The sequence below is a fragment of the Homo sapiens genome, chromosome 7, assembly GCF_000001405.40.
Source record: "Homo sapiens chromosome 7, GRCh38.p14 Primary Assembly".
Lineage (NCBI taxonomy): Eukaryota > Metazoa > Chordata > Mammalia > Primates > Hominidae > Homo > Homo sapiens.
Window position 1 is genome coordinate 116,809,187 of NC_000007.14, and position 17,535 is coordinate 116,826,721.

Genomic DNA, 17,535 nt, shown 5'->3' on the forward strand with positions numbered 1-17,535 from the left:
TGGAAGAACACAAACACACAGGCTGGCGCACAGTAAGCACTGCAGAAATATTGTGGATGAAGAATCTAGAAACTAGGGTGCATGCTCCAGGAGTGTAGAGAGAGCCCAAATCAAGATGCACCTTTAATATCACTCTAAGGTGTTAGGAAATGGGGAATGAGGAGAGGCTTTCAAAACAGAGGGGCAACAAAATCAGAACTATTATTTGGAATAGTAACTCCAACAGCATGAATTGGAAGAGGAAATACCTTAAAAGATGAGTTAGGAGACTATTTCATTCACACAGGAGGGTCTAGATAACTAAAACAGAAACAACAGTCATATTGAAGAAGACTGGCAAGAGGTCAGCATCCCATGATCGCGCTGCACTGTTGCTTTATATGATTGTGTTTGATGGCACGATTGTTTACAACCCTTGACTTTCTTCCCTGCTTTATCATTAGCATTACTTTAGAATAATGAAGCCTGTTCCATCCATTAACTCCACTAACATTTGATCTCCCCATAGGTTGAGGTTAAAAATTAATTACTCTTCCAACATATTGATTACATGACTATAAATATAAAAACAGAACTACAGAGTAACTACAGGGACCCTTTGTTTAAATAGCATGTTTGCTCTTTTTAAAGGAGGTAATTAATGGCAAAGGACTTTGGAACTGGAGGAACATGCTAGAAAAGCAACCCTTGAGTGCCATCTAGTGTTGACAACACATTTAAATGTAGTGTATCAAAGAAAGGTCTGGTTTCTTACACTGTAGGTGACTTAATTGTTGAAAGCAGGCAATGTTTGAATAGTAAAAAACCAAACTTACCCTGCCTTTGTTGCTTGCCACCTGGGTATTAACATGAATCTTCATTTTTGAACTTCAGTGGGAGGAAGCCTTCATTTCAGCTTCTAGGTCAAGGTGCGTTAACAGAATTGGAGGGCATTGAGTTTAACTCACATAACTCTTTCTTTTTGTCATTCCAGGAAAAAGTTACCCCTAAGGTAAAGCTAGCATGTAACTCCTCCTTTTCCTCCCTTTTACCAGTTAGTTTCAGACTATTTCACCTAATTAAAAATGAACTCATAATATTTCATGAATTAAAGAATGGAGAACATAGAAGAGGTTAAGAACTGGTGTTGAAATCTCCTGCCATGGAAATTCATTGTTACTGAGGTGGCTCATATATCAGAGCACTGCCTTCTGCGGACATTAAAATTCACTTTGTTTCGTGTCCCTAATACTGCCCAGCCCTTGGGAAGCACGAAGCTGACATTGTATTAGGCAATTCACGCTGACCTAATAACTCAAAGCAATCATCACTGGTAACTTAAAGTGACTACACTCCAAAAGAAATAGAGCCTAAGGTCACAGTTATAAATCTTACCACAGGAAGGCCAAAGATTATAATCTTTATGCCAAGTGCTGCAGATTCCTTTCTGCTTAGGAGAGTCATATTTCAAAGACTTTACTAATCTGAAACCTATAGGTGGTTGTGACAATAGCAGATATGGCTTACATGACATCAAACCCACATTTTAAAGAACACTGGGTAAATCAGTAAAAAAGGGGCAATTATATTTATTATATCTGCAGCCAAGACTGTATACTTTTACCTTCATACTATACTGAAATGCAATATCATAATTGTTTTTGAACTCAAAGGCCTAACATATAATAAAAGCATAGTTAACTAAGGAGGCGTGTGATCCTCTTATCAGTGTATATTTGCATAATTTGCAAGCAGTCTCTGAGTTTGCTATGATGATGTGTAAACAGAGGGTATTTGTTCAGTTGGAACTTTGTGCTGTGGAGACTAAAGTCAAAGGTTTGATCCCTAATCAGGGCAGACAGCTTCACTGTTGGGTGACTGAAAGCACTTTATCATTATGCTTCCTCAAGATCGAGGGGCTTCAGGACAGTGAACATGTAAGTTGCCCACTGCTAAAGAAAAACATGTTTTAAATGTTTTTATTTGACTTTTTTTTATATAAGGAATGTATGCCTTCTTTGTGCAAAATAAGATGTGATTTTTTTAAAGCTAACATTCTTGCAGACTCTAACAATCTCCTCCCGCATCCCCTCTGTTCCCATAGCTTCTCTCACCTCCATATTTACAAGCCTCTCATTTTTATAGAAAGATATACACATATGTTGATTTTAGAGTTTTAAATAAAAATAGGATCATGCTGTATACATAATTTGCAACAGTTTATTTTGACTTTGCAGCATATCACAGGTATTCCTCCAGTTTATAATTCAGTCTTTCTCATTGCTACCTGACCATCTGTAGAATGGCTGTTACAATCCACTCAGGCTGTTTCCAGTATTTTTTTTTGGTTTATTTTGTTTACTGTTACAAACAATACTACAAAAAAACTTTTACGTATAATCTAATATACTGGCCTTTTATTCTAGGATACAGTCCCAAAAGTGGGGTCAGTAAATCACACACTGTTTGTATTTTATTAGATATTAGGCAAGTTGTTTTCCCCAAAGGCTGCACCTTTTCACACTCCCAACGATATTTGAAAATACTTATTTCCCTATTTTGTACCAGCTTGGGACATCAGCACTCTTTTTCATTACTGCCAAATAAGTAAACAATGGTTTCTTACTGTTGTCATAATTTGCTTTTCCATGATTAACAGAGAAGTTGACTTCCTGTGTTTATGTGTTTTGTAGCCATCTGCATTTCTTTAAATTGCCTTTCCACAGCCTTTGCCCCATTTTATTCTTTCCTCTATTTTTTATTCAATTGTTTGTCTTTCAGCAGGTGGCAAACTCTTCTTGTAAAATAGATATATTAACCCTTTGGCTGGGCGCAGTGGCTCACGCTTGTAATCCCAGCACTTTGGGAGGCTGAGGCAGGCAGATCACTTGAGGTCAGGAGATTGAGACCAACCTGGCCAACATGGTGAAAACCTGTAACTACTAAAAATACAAAAGTTAGCTGGACGTGGTGGTGCATACCTATAATCCCAGCTACTCAGGAGGCTGAGGCAGGAGAATTGCTTGAATCCAGGAGGTGGAGGTTGCAGTGAGCCGAGATCACACCACTGTAATCCAGCCTGGGCAGCAGAGTGAGACTCTGTCTCAAAAAAAAAAAAAAAGAGAAAGAAAGATTAAACTTTTGTCTTTACCTTTGTCTTTATTACAAATTATTTTCCTGACAATCATTTATCCTTTGACTATGTTTATGTCTTTTGCCATATAAAAATTTTAAATCTGTATGTAATCCAAAATATTTGTCTTTTCTGGCATTATGTCCTCTACCCTTAAAAGGTCTTAGAGAGTCTTCCTGGACCCAATATTGTAGAAAAACAATTTCAAGTACACACCTTAACGATGGTGGACTTTTAACTCCAGGGATCTCAAACAAACAACCATAGAAGTCTGGCAGGTTATGGAAAGTTATGATACCCAACCAATAAGAAAAATAGGGTATACTGGGGGCTGTGATAAAATACAGCATGTACACCCCATCTAAAGGAGACAGTCAGTACTGTCAACCTCAAATAACCAAAAGGATCAGGGTTTAATTTAAAGAGAGTTTATTCAAGCACAAAGTTTGAAGATGGCCCACATGGAAACACAAACTCCAAAGGAATGGAATCAGTGCTTCAAAATAGAGAAGTTAAGGTTTCACTTATTCATACAGAATCAGAGAGTTTTTAGCAAGATTATGACATTTTTCATACAAGGTTGATGCATAGTTACAGCAGTTTAATATGTTACAGGCAGCATTTCTTTTGGGAAGATACATTTAACATTTTTTACAGAGAGTGTAAGAGTCATGAGATTTTTGTCATGTGTTCTAAGCAAAGTAGGACAATAAAGGGAAAGTTAATTTGTAATAAGGACCATTAACTAAGAAAGCAGGAAGTTTTTGTCCCTGACGTCACTTAATTCTCTCCAGTCACTGTACAGAACAAGAAAAATAAAATAGCAAGTTAATCTATAATCTGAGAAACAGAAGTTGTAACTACATGTGACTCAGATCACAGTCGCATCTCTTTCAAGACTTAAAGTGTTTGAGGGATTCCATCAGCTTTTTTTTTTTTTAGATGGAGTTTCACTCTTGTTGCCCAGGCTGGAGTGCAGTGGTGGGATCTTGGCTTACTGCAACTTCCACCTCCCAGGTTCAAGCTGTTCTGCCTCCGCCCTCCAAGTAGCTGGGATTGCCCACCACCATACCCAGCTAATTTTGTGTATTTTTAGTAGAGATGGGGTTTCACCATATTGGCTAGGCTGGTTTTGAACTCCTGATCTCAGGTGATCTGCCTGCCTTGGCCTCCCAAAGTGCTGGAATTACAGGCGTGAGCCACTGCGCCCAGCCTCCAGCAGCTTCTAAGTTATATTTATTTTCATAGTTCTAAACTCCAGTCAAGATTGGCCCTTGAGTAATTCAGGCTAAATGTTACCACATCTTCTTGTTTTTCTCTCTGAGAAAAGCCAGCTAACCAGATTTTTATATAAAATTTCCCAACTTTAAAATATATGTTAGGCCTTTTTATTATTTATTTATTTGGAACAGGGTCTCACTCTGTCACCCAGACTGGAATGCAGTGGCACGATCATGGCTCACTGCAGCCTTGACTTACCAGGCTCAAGTGACCCTCTCACTTCAGCCTCCTGAGTAGCTAGAACCACAGATGCATGCCACCACACTTGGCTCATTTTTAACATGTTTTTGTAGAGGTGGAGTTTCACTATATTGCCCAGGCTGGTCTCAAACTCCTGGGCTCAAGGGATCCTCCTGCCGTGACCTCCCAAAGTGCTAGGTTCACAGGCATGAGCCACCGTGCCTGGCCTTAACCCATTTTTCCCCCCGAGACTGAGTCTTGCACTATCGCCCAGGCTGGAGTGCAGTGGCATTGATCTTGGCCCACTGCAACCTCTACCTCTTGGGTTCGAGCAATTCTCCTGCCTCAGTCTCCCAAGTCCTGGGATTACAAGTGCGCACCACCACACCCAGCTAATTTTTGTATTTTTAATAGATATGGGGTTTCACCATGTTGGCTAGGCTGGTCTCAAACTCCTGACCACATGATCCGCCCGCCTTGGCCTCCCAAAGTGCTGGGATTACAGGCGTGAGCCACCGTACCTGGCCAACCCATTTTTTAAAAAATAAAATTGCTCAGGCCACACCAAATGTGTCTGTGAGCCCCTGACATAAAGCTTAGTTCCTCATGGTACTTGCGCTATGAGAGAAAAAAAAGCCAAGGATTTACTATGCATCGGGCATTGAAACTCATATACATCATTTTTTTAATCCTCAAAATAGCTTACCACTTAGTGTTAGTATGATCATTTTAGAGATAAGAAAACTGAAATTAAGGATGGATTAAAAATTTATCCACGTTAATCAGCTAGTAACAGAGCCAAGATTTCAACCCAGTTTTTCCAGCTCTAAAGAGTAGCTCTTCCAATCTTATCATGCTATAACTCTCACGAAATTCCAAAGTAGAAGGTCATCTTTATTTTCCCACTTTTTAGAAAGTGAACCGTAAAGATCTTAAAGGGCATCTCCAGCATTGTTTGAAATGTAGAACTCCGCCGGGCACAGTGGCTCACGCCTGTAATCCCAGCACTTTGGGAGGCTGAGGTGGGTGGATCACTTGAGGTCAGGAATTCCAGACTAGCCTGGCCAATATGGTGAAACTCCATCTCTACTAAAAATACAAAAATTAGCTGGGCATGATGGCAGGCGCCTGGGATTCCGGCTAGTCAGGAGACTGAGGCAGGAGAATCGCCTGCATCCGGGAGGTGGAGGTTGCAGTGAGTCAAGATCGAGCCACTGTACTCCAGCCTGGGCGAAAGAGCAAGACTGTCTCAAAACAAAAAAATAAAAACTAAAAACAGAAATATAAAACTAGATGAGACTTTGCACGTGGCAGAGATGAAGATTACTACCCAATTCAGTGTTAACCTCAAAATTAAAATTGTCACTGGACATCAGGGAAGACTCTTCCAGTGTGAAGTAGGGGAATGGCATGGAGTTCTCTTGGGATAAGGAGGTGGCAGTGGCTGAAAACTCAAAATTAACCAGCGCCAACCTCAAGACCTAGCCTTGGTACTGAGGATCTGCCCTTCAGCTTCGTGCTCCCATAGGAGAGCCTCAGAAAGATGTGTGGCCAGATAAGCTACAGAGATTGCAGACAAACCAAAAAGAGAATAGAGTGGCAATCAAAGCAGTTCCTTTGAGAAAGGAATGTCATTTCTCTCCTTCTGAGAAACTGAAAACCCATGGCAAAGATTAAGATTTTGCCAAACATGGGAATTTGAAGAAAGCAGTATCTGCTCCATAAGAACTTTTGTTTGAATGAAGTAACCTGTTAATAAGGACAGATAATATTGATTTGTTTTATGTGAGTTTGCCTGGGGAGTTAACCACGGTCATAATAATTTTTAAGTTTCCGGGTTCTGAGGACCATGGCTTCTGTTCTTGGTATTACTCCCATTGGTTTTCTTTTTTAAAATATATTGATTAAATTAATCCAGGTCTTGGAATAACATATTCTGCACAGAAATCAAAGAGACAGAAAAAGTGATAAATAATTGATGCAGCCTCTGATATGTTAAACATGCAATGTTGAAAGAAAATTTTTCTCCTTTGACATACGGTAAGTCTGAGCATGTGTCATAATAAAAAGAGCTTGCCACATTCTTAAGGTTTGGAAGAAAACTAAAAATGAAAAAGAACAACTTTTTATGTTGATATCATGATCTTCAGCATACTCTCTGCCAAAATTACTTCCTATCCAGTGATTTCATAAGATGTAGCAACGTTAAATTTTTATCTTTTTTCTGCAATTCAGGTACGAGTTAAGTAAAAATCTAAACAAGACATTCTTGGGCCTAAGATGCTCCCCAAAAGAGCATTTCAAAAGAAATTTGTTGCCACTTGATTTTATAAGTATATGACAAACTTGAATGAAACGAAGTTAGAGCAAAGAACTGGTCCAAGGCCTGGCTTAGTCACTTTTTAACAGTTAGCATTTATTGAGAGATTACCATGTGCCAAACATTACATAAAATGCTTTATATTGATTAACAAATATAATCTTTACCCCATCTGATGAGCTACATACTATTATTATCCTCATTTTGATTAAAAAAAAAAAAACTAGTCCACAGAGGATTATAGAATTCACCCAAGATTGTATTACTACCAGAAACCAAACACAGGTAGTGTTCCTTTAGGAATTCTTGCTTTTAATCAATGTCCTATAAACAGATAACCTTAAGCCCTTTCCTTCCTAAGCCTCAGATAACTTGTCTCAAACATGAGGATAATAAAACCGATTCTACCTATTTCCCTTGGTTATTTTGAGGAACAAGTGAGATCATTACATGTAAAGATCTCAATAGGCTGGGCACAATGGCTCATGCCAGTAATCCCAGCACTTTGGGAAGCCGAGGCAGGAGGATCAGTTGATGCCAGGAGTTCAAGACCAGCCTGGGCAAAATGGTGAGACCCCATCTCTACAAAACTTAAAATTAAAAAATTAGCTGGGCATGGTGTCACATGCCTATAGTCCCAGATACTCGGGAGGCTGAGGCAGGAGGATTGCTTGGGCACAGGAGTTCAAGGCTATAGTGAGCTATGATCATGCCCCTGGGCAACAGAGTGAGACTGTGTTTCTTTTTTAAAAAAAAGGTCTCAGTAAGTTATAAATCATTACAATCTTTAGCTTATTTCCTAGTTTTCAGAAATGAGCAAGCTGAACCCTAAGTAGAATTCTTAAGTAGATGTCCCTTTTCAACAGAAGGGTTTCTATGCTTAGGCAAATCACATAATATTGACCTTACAACATTATTATACTTTGAAATTGGTTATGATATCCTTTTTATAGAAAATATAAGAGCGCTATGTGGAAAGCAGAGTTGAACTAGAGTCAAGAGGGCCCAACACTCAGCTCAGCTTTTACCAACTCATATTCACTTACTCTTCAAATGTCCCATCTGTAAAACATGATTCCCTATCTCACAGGTTATTAAAGTTACATACCTGCATGTGCTTTGTAAACTACTGAACAAGAAGCTGTCCTTTGTATTACTGCCATGTCAAAGAAGAATAATGTGCAACTTACCCAGGAGAAGGAGAAGGAAAGGATGTCATTGGCAGGGAGCTAGCCCCAGGAGCCACAGTGTCCCAAAGACTGTGGAGAGACTGAATTTGCTGACTTTGGGTGGGTTATTTTGGGGGAAAGCATTGTTGTTTTAGTCACAGTTGGCTGGGGGTATTTCCTTGACTTCGGCCCCCACCTTCCACATGGAAATTATGTTTTCATTCATCCTTTCATTCATGTACCAAAATATTGGTGTGCATCTATCATGTGCCTGGCATTGTGTTAATTATGTTAAACACTGGGGACACAACGGTAATGAAAATAGAGTCCCTATCCTCATAGAACTTACATTCTAGAGAGGGAGACATGTAACAGACAAAACATGAAACTAAGTTATAACAGCATGGGATAAGTGCTAGAAGGAAATTAACATTGACAGGCGAGATGCTGGTGTGGGAAAGACCCACTTCAGGTGGGCAGTAGCAAGAATGGGAATGCTGAAGGTGGAAAAGGACAGACAGATTTGAGGCATCTTTTAAAGGAAGAATGGACATACTTCTTGATGGATCTGATGTAGAAGACGAGGAAAGAGAGGATTAGGAGATGACTACTAGGTTTCTGCAATAAGCAGTTAAAGGACAAGGATCCTGTCACCATTTACTCATATGTGGACAATTGGAAGAGGAGGGTGTGGAAGTCAATAATACCATTTGGGGTATGTCACTTTTCAAATGCCTGTAAGACATTCAAATGTCAAATTGAATGCATGAGCCCAGAACCCAAAGGAAAGTTCTGGATTGAGAAAAAGGTGGGATGTCATGAGCTTATAGACAATATTTAAAATCATGTTAACATTCTGTTTAGGCCAGGCGCAGCGGCTCATGCCTGTAATCCCAGCACTTTGGGAGGCTGAGGTGGGTGGATCACCTGAGGTCGGGAGTTCAAGGCCAGCCTGACCAACATGGAGAAGCCCTGTCTCTACTAAAAATACAAAATTAGCTGGGCATGGTGGCGCATGCCTGTAATCCCAGCTACTCGGGAGGCTGAGGCAGGAGAATCGCTTGAACCTGGGAGGCAGAGGTTGCAGTGAGCCAAGATTGCGCCATTGCACTCCAGCCTGGGCAACAAGAGCAAACCTCCATCTCAGAAAAAAAAAAAAAAAAATTCTGTTTAATAAGTCTGAAAAACCTTCAAGAACAGGTTTTCTTTAATCCCAAATAGTGAAATTTCAGGATGGCAATAACTTTCAAAAAATGTATTTCCACCCAGAAATTGAGAGGGAATTCTTAGGTCACTGCAAATCATCCCAGTGGAGTAACCCAATGCTCCAGTGAGAAAATGGTGTAACAGAATGAGATAGGACTTGAACTAAGAAGGATCTGGGCTTGAATTCCAGCTCTGCCATTGCTAATGATGTGGCCTTATGAAAGTTTCTTTACCCGTTTGATCCTCTTTTTAATTATCTATACAATGGAAATTTAAAAATACCTCGAAGGTTGTTGTGAACAATGTAAATAACATCTGCAAAAATGTCTAGCACAGGGTAGAATCAGTAAGTAGTAGCAATATTAAATTTCTCTCTTTTTTTGCACAGTAAAATGTCTTGAAAGACACAACCTCTACTTGCAGGCCTCCTTCTTTCCTGGATTCACTCCAGTCATGTTTCCCATCTCTCATTCCACCGGATCTGCTCTTGTGAAAGTCACCAATGGTGTTGATTCTGCCTTCAATTTTGTACTCCTTCTCAACAGCATTTAACCCAATTGATCACTTCTTCCTTGGTTAGCTTTTTTCTCAGCTTCAGTGACACCACACCATCCTGATTTTCCACATATGCCACAGAAAGATCCTTCTCAGTCTCCTGTGCTTAACTGTTTTCCCAAGCAGAAATGCTAAATGTTGGAGAACTTAGGCTCAGTCCTAGAGCCTCATTTTTTCCATCCTCCCTCCCTCCATAGGTAACATTATCCAGTCCTATAGTTTAACATCTGTCAAATCCCAAATTCACATCTTCCCTTGAACTCTAAATTCATACATTTAATTGTCTCTTTGGCATCATCATGTGACAAGCACCTCCAGTTTAACAAGTAAAAATAGAACTCTTGACCACCAACAGCCCTTCCTCAAGTCTTCCACCATCCAGCAAATGGCATCATTATCCATCCAATGGTGCTCTGTCAAAATCCTACCTATAAGTACATACTATTAGCTCCATCCCTAAAATACAGCCACAGTCTGTCTCAACTCTGCTTCCAAACCCCAAGATCAGGGCACCATCGTTTCTCATGGTTTCAGGCTTCCACTTCAATCCATTCTCCCATACGAGACATTGTGACCTTTTGAAAACATAAATCATGCCATGTAACTTTCCCATCTAAAATCTTTCCACGGCTTTCTGTTGCACTTAGAATGAAATCCAAGTTGTTTACCACGGTTCGTTAAGGCTTACATGGTTGGGCCTCAGCTTCCTCTCCAAGCCGTCTCCTTTTACCACCCCCTCCAGCACACTACCCTCCCCCTTCACCAGTCTTCCTTCTTTCTGCTAAGCTTCTTTCTGCTTCAGGATCTTACCCTAATTGTTTCCTCTGCCTGGAACTTTCTGCTCCAGATCTTTCCATCAGCTGGCCCCTTCTCATAATTCTCAGAGAAGCCTTCCCTCCATCCAGTCTCAAATAGCTTCCACTCTCTCAGCGATGCCCTATTCATGTAACCCTGTGTTATTTTCTTTTTATTATGTGTATTTACTTGAAATCACTTTGTTGATCTATGTGTTTACATCTGTGTTATCTCTCTCTCCTCCACTAGACTATATGCTCCAGGAGAACAGGAACGGATTTCTCACTCATCTATGTATAGCGCCTAGACAGAACTGACACATAATAGACATTCAAAAATATTTGTCAAATGAGTGAATGAACGAATTCACAGTAGTTGTCATTGCCCTGCTATGTACAAATCTGTGGCACGGGTGGTACGGAATACCACCCTCTACTTGGTTCCATTTTTGCCACCTGGCCAGCTCCTTCTGCTTTAACCAACTGTGTTTTCTTCTCTTTATCTGCTTACACCCACATTTTATTTATTTATTTATTTATTTATTTATTTATTTATTTATTTATTTTAACTTCTATTTTAGGTTCAGTGGCATATGTGCAGGTTTGTTACATAGGTAAGCTACATGTCACAAAGGTTTAGCATACAGATTATTTTATCACCCAGGTAATAAGCATAGTACCTGATAGGTATTTTTTCTGATCCCTTTCCTCCTTCCACCCTTTACCTTCCAGTAGGCCCCAATATCTGTTGTTCCCCTCTTTACGTCCATGTGTTCTCATCACTTAGCTCTTACTTATAAGTGAGAACATGCAGTATTTGGTATTCTGTTCCTGTGTTAGTTTGCTAAGGACAATGGCCTCCAGCTCCATCCATGTTCCTGCAAAGGATATGATCTTGTTCTTTTTTATAGCTGTGTAGCATTTCATGGTGTATATGTACCACATTTTCTTTATCCAGCCTACCATCGATGTGCATTTAGGTTGATTTCATGTCTTTGCTACTATGAATAGTGCTGTGATGAACATATGTGTGCATGTGTCTTTATGGTAGAATGATTTATACTCCTTGGGGTATATGCCCAATAATGGGATTGCTACATCAAATGGTAATTCTGTTTCAAGTTCTTTGAGGAATCGACAAACTGCTTTCCACAATGGCTGAACTAATTTACACTCCTACCAGCAGTGTATAATCATTCCCTTTTCTTCACAACCTCGCCAGCATCTGTTATTTCTTGACTTTTTAATAACAGCCATTCTGACTGGTGTGAGATGGTATATCATTGTGGTTTTGATTTGCATTCCTCTAATAATTAATAATGTTGAGCATTTTCATATTCTTGTTGGCCTCATGTATGTCTTCTTTTGAAAAGTGATTGTTCATGTCTTTTGCCCACTTTTTAATGGAGTTGTTTGTTTTTTGCTTGTAAATTTGCTTAAGTTTCTTACAGTTTCTCGATATTAGACCTTTGTTGGATGCATAGTTTGCAAATATTTTCTCCCATTCTGTAGGTTGTCTGTTTACTCTGTTGACAGTTTGTTTTGGTGTGCAGAAGCTCTTTAGTTTAATTAGATTCCATTTTCCAATTTTTATTTCGGTTGCAATTGCTTTTGTCATCTTCATCATGAAATCTTTGCCAAGTCCTATGTACAGCATGGTATTTCCTAGGTTATCTTCTAGGGGTTTTTTAATTAATTAATTAATTTTTTTATTATACTTTAAGTTCTGGGATACAAGTGCAGAACGTGCAGGTTTGTTACATAGGTATACATGTGCCATGGTTGCTGCACCCATCAACCTGTCATCTACATTAGGTATTTCTTCTAATGCTATCCCTCCCCTTGCCCCCCACCCCTAAACGACAGGCCCCAGTGTGTGATGTACCCCTCCCTGTGCCCATATGTTCTCATTGTTCGACTCTCACTTATGAGTGAAAACATGCAGTGTTTGGTTTTCTGCTCCTATGTTAGCTTGCTGAGAATTATGGTTTCCAGTTTTATCCATGTCCTTGCAAAGGTAATGAACTCATTCTTTTTTATGGCTGCGTAGTATTCCATGGTGTATATGTGCCACATTTTCTTTACCCAATCTATCATTGGTGGACATTTGGGTTGGTTCAGAGTATTTGCTGTTGTGAATAGTGCTGCAATAAACATACATGTGCATGTGTCTTTATAGTAGAATGATTTATCATCCTTTGGGTATACACCCTGTAACGGGATTGCTGGGTCAGAAGTATTTCTAGTTCTAGATCCTTAAGGAATTGGCACACTGTCTTCCACAATGGTTGAACTAATTTACACTCCCACCCACAGTGTAAAAGCATTCCCTATTTCTCCACATCCTCTCCAGCATCTGTTGTTCCCTGATTTTTTGATGCTCACCATTCTAACTGGTATGAGATGGTACCTCATTGTGGTTTTGATTTGCATTTCTCTAATGACCAGTGATGATGAGCTGTTTTTCATGTTTGTTGGCAGCATAAATGTCTTCTTTTGAGAAGTGTCTGTTCATATCCTTCACCCACTTTTTGATGTGACTGTTTATATTTTTCTTGTAAATTTGTTTAAGTCCCTTGTAGATTCTGGATTGCTGACAAAGGGCTTCTAGGGTTTTTATAGTTTTAGGTTTTACATTTAAGTTTTCAATCCATCTTGAGTTGATTTTTGGATGTGGTGTAAGGTAAACATTGGCCTACTGGCTAGCCATATACAGAAGGTTTTGTATGTGGTGTAAGGTAGAGGTTGGCTCAGTCCTAGAGCCCCGTTTTTCCATCTTCCTTCCCCCCATAGGTTGGCCTCTACCTTTTACTACGCACCATTTACTGAATGGGGAATCCTTTCCCCATTGCTTGTTGCTTGTTTTTTGTCAGTTTTGTCAAAGATTAGATGGTTGTAGGTGTGTGCCATTATTTCTGGGCTCTCTATTTTGTTCCATTGGTCTATGTCTCTGTTTTTGTAACAGTAACATGCTGTTTTGGTTACTGTAGCCCTGTAGTATGATTTGAAGTCAGATAATATGATGCCTCCAGCTTTGTTCCTTTTGCTTGGGATTGCCTTGGTTATTTGCACCCTTTTTTTGGTTCCATATGAATTTTAAAATAGTTTTTTTAATTCTGTGAGGAATGCCATTGGTAGTTTTATAGGAATAGCATTGAATCTGTAAATCACTTAGGGTAGTACCACCATTTTAATTGTATTGATTCTTCCTATCCATGAGCATGGAATGTTTTTTAATTTGTCATCTCTGATTTCTTTGGACAGTGTTTTGTAATTCTCATTGTACAGATATTTCACCTCCCTGGTTAGCTGTATTCCTAGGTATTTTATTCTCTTTGTGGGAATGCTACTGATTTTTGTACATTGATTTTGTATTCTTAAAATTTGTTGAAATTGTTTCTCAGATCAAGGAGCTTTGGGGCAGAAGCTATGGAGTTTTCTAAATACAGAATCATGTCATTTGCAAACAGGGATACTTGGACTTCCTCTCTCCCTATTTAGATGTCTTTTATTTATTTCTCTTGCCTGATTGCTCTGGCCAGAAATTCCAATACTATGTTGAACAGGATTGGTGAGAGGGGGCATCCTTGTCTTGTGCTGGTTTTCAAAGAGAATGCTTCCAGCTTTTGCCCATTCAGTATGATGTGGGCTGTGGGTTTGCCATAGATGGCTCTTATTGTTTTGAAGCATGTTCCGTCTATGCCTAGTTTATTGAGAATTTTTAATGTGAATAGATGTTGAATTTTATCAAAAGCCTTTTCTGCACCTATTGAGATAATCATGTAGTTTTTGTTTTTAGTTCTGTTTATGTGGTGAATCACATTTATTGATTTGCCTATGTTGAACCAATTTTGCATCCCGGAGATAAAGCCTACTTGATTACGGTGGATTGGCTTTTTGATGTCCTGCTGGATCCAGTTTGCTACTATTTTGTGGAGGATTTTTGCATCTATGTTCATCAAAGATATTGGCCTGAAGTTTTCTTTTTTCGTTGTCTCTGCCAGGGTTCGGTATCACAATGATGCTGGCTGGCCTCATAGAATGAGTTGGGAAGGAGTCCCTCCTCCTCAATTTTCTGAAAGAGTCTCAGCTCTTCTTTATACATCTAGTAGAATTTGGCTGTGAATCCATCTGTCCTGGACTTCTTTTGGTTGGTAGGCTTTTTATTACTGATTCAGTTTCATTATTGGTCTGTTCAGGGATTCAATTTCTTCCTGGTTCAGTCTTGGGAGGTTGTATGTGTCCAGAAACTTATCCTTTTCTTCTAGATTTTCTAGTTTGTGTGCATAGAGGTGTACATAGTAATCTCTGATGAATTTTTGTATTTCTGTAGGGTCAGTGGTAACATCCCCTTTGTCATTTCTAATTGTGTTTATTTGGATCTTCTCTCTTTTTTTTATTAGTCTAGCTAGCAGTCTATCTTATTTTTTTTTTCCAATAACCAACTCCTGGATTTATTGATTTTTTGTATGGTTTTTCACATCTCAATCTCCTTCAGTTCAGCTCTGATTTTGGTTATTTCTGGTCGTCTGCTAGCTTTGTGGTTGGTACACTCTTGCTTCTCTATTTCTTCTAGTTGTGATGTTAGGTTGTTGATTTGAGATCTTCCTAACTTTTTGATGTGGGTGTTTAGTGCTATAAACTTCCCTCTTAACACTGCTTTAGCTACATCCCAGAGATTCTTCATGTTGTATCTTTGTTCTCATTAGTTTCAAAGAACTTTCTGGTTTCTCCCTTAATTTCATTATTTACTCAAAAGTCATTCAGGAGCAGGTTGTATAATTTCCATGTATGGTTTTGAGTGATTTTTAGTTTTGATTTCTATTTTTATTACACTGTGGTCTGAGAGTGTGGTTGGTATGATTTGGGGCTTTTTTTTGCATTTGCTGAGGATTGTTTTATGTCCAATTGAGTGGTTAACTTTAGAGTATGTGCAATGTGTTGATGAGAAGAATGAATATTCTGGCATTTTGGGGTGGAGAGTTCTGTAGATGTACAATAGGTCCATTTGGTCAAGTGCTGAGTTCATGTTCTGAATATCTTTGTTAATTTTCTGCCTCAATGATCCCTCTAATACTGTCAGTGGGGTGTTGAAGTCTCCCAGAATTATTATGTGGGAAGTTAAGTCTCTTCATAGGTCTCTAAGAACTTGCTTTATGAATCTGCTCCTATGTTGGGTCCGTGTATATTTAGGATAGTTAGGTCTTCTTGTTGAATAGAGTCCTTTACCGTTATGTAATGGCCTTCTTTATCTTTTTTTTTTAATCTTTTTTAGTTTAAAATCTGTTTTGTCTGAAATTCAGATAGCAACCCCTGCTTTTTTCTGTTTTTCATTTGCTTGGTAGATTTTTCTCCAACCCTTTATTTTGAGCCAATGGATGTCATTGTATGTGAGATGGTTCTCTCAAAGACAGCATACCATTGGGTCTTGCTTCTTCATCCAGCTTGCCACTCTGTGCCTTTTAATTGAAGCATTTAGCCCACTTACATTCAAGGTTAGTATTGATATGTGTGGATTTGATCCTATCATCATGTTGTTAGCTGATTTTTTATGGAGACTTGTTTGTATAGTTGTTTATAGTGTCACTGGTCTGTGTACTTAAGTGTGTTCTTGTAGTGGTGGTAACAGTCTTTCCTTTCCATATTTAGTGCTCCTTTCAGGACCTTTTGTAAGGCAGGTCTGCTGTTAGCCTGATGAAATTTCCTTTGTAGGTAATCTGCCCCTTCTTGTTAGCTGTCTTTAATATTTTTTCTTTCATTTTGACCTTGGAGAATCTGATAATTATGTGTCTTAGGAATGGTCTTCTTGTGTAATATCTTGCAGGAGTTCTCTGCATTTCCTGAGTTTGAATGTTGGCCTCTCTAGTGAAGTTGGGGAAGTTTTCATGGATAATACACTAAAATATATTTTCCAAATTGCTTGCTTTATCCCCATCCCTTTCAGGGATGCCAATGAGTTGTAGATTTACATAATCCCATATTTCTTAGAGGTTTTATTCATTATTTTTTATTCTTTTTTCTTGTCCGACTATTTCAGAGGGTTCTGAGATTCTTTCCTCAGTTTGATCTATTTTGCTGCTAATACTTGTGATTACAGTACGCAATTCTTGTAGACTATTTTTCAGCTCTATTAGATCTGTTAGGTTCTTTTTATAGTGGCTATTTTGCTTATAAGCTCCTGTATCATTTTATTGTAATTCTTAGCTTCCTTGGATTGAATTTTGATGTTCTCCTGGATCTCAATGGACTTAATTTCTATCCATATTCTGAATTCTATTTCTGTCATTTCAGCCATTTCAGTCCAGTTAAGAACTCTTACTGGGAAACAAGTTTAGTCATTTGGAGGAAAGAAGACACTGTGGCTTTTTGAATTGCCAGAGTTCTTGCTCTGGTTGTTTCTCATCTGTGTGAGCTGGTGGCCTTTAACTGTGGTATAAATCGAATACAGTCAGTAGACTTATTTCCTGGATGTTTTCAGAGGATCGAAAATTTGTGTAGAGTCTTTATTTGAAGCTGAATTATTGTCCTTGGTTTCACAGAGGGGTATATTAGCAAAGCATTTTTGGTGTTGAAGTTTGGGGCTGTGATTCAGTAGGTGGCACTTAAACATAATGGAAGTAGGTAGGCTTTTGCTCAGTCACGTGGCTCCTCTGTATTTTCTCCTAATTGCAGCCATCTACCTTTCAGTGCTCTGAAAGTGTAGGTTTCTCTCCCACTTGATTGCTGGCTACAGATCTCAGCTTGGCACCCACAGGTTGCACATTGCAGCTCCCGGGCGATCTTGGGCTTTATGTTCCCTCCCCAGCTTGAAGGCAACAGGGGAAGGAACTTTAGCAGTGGTTGTGGCAGAGGGGCTTTCACTTGTCTCTTGGGGTTTCACCCCAGAAAGATGCAGACCAGCTATCAGTCACTATGATC

The 17,535-nt window shown here is 39.1% G+C and overlaps 1 long non-coding RNA gene across 1 annotated transcript in view; it reads left to right on the plus strand.

The window, feature by feature from the left end:
* The first annotated feature begins 1,833 nt into the window (after window positions 1-1,833).
* The window catches only part of LOC124901731 (uncharacterized), a 37,459-nt gene continuing 21,757 nt past the window's right edge, over window positions 1,834-17,535 (plus strand). The window contains exon 1 of the long non-coding RNA XR_007060489.1: window positions 1,834-1,916. This is a non-coding gene — a long non-coding RNA (uncharacterized LOC124901731). The remainder of the gene's footprint in view (window positions 1,917-17,535) is intronic.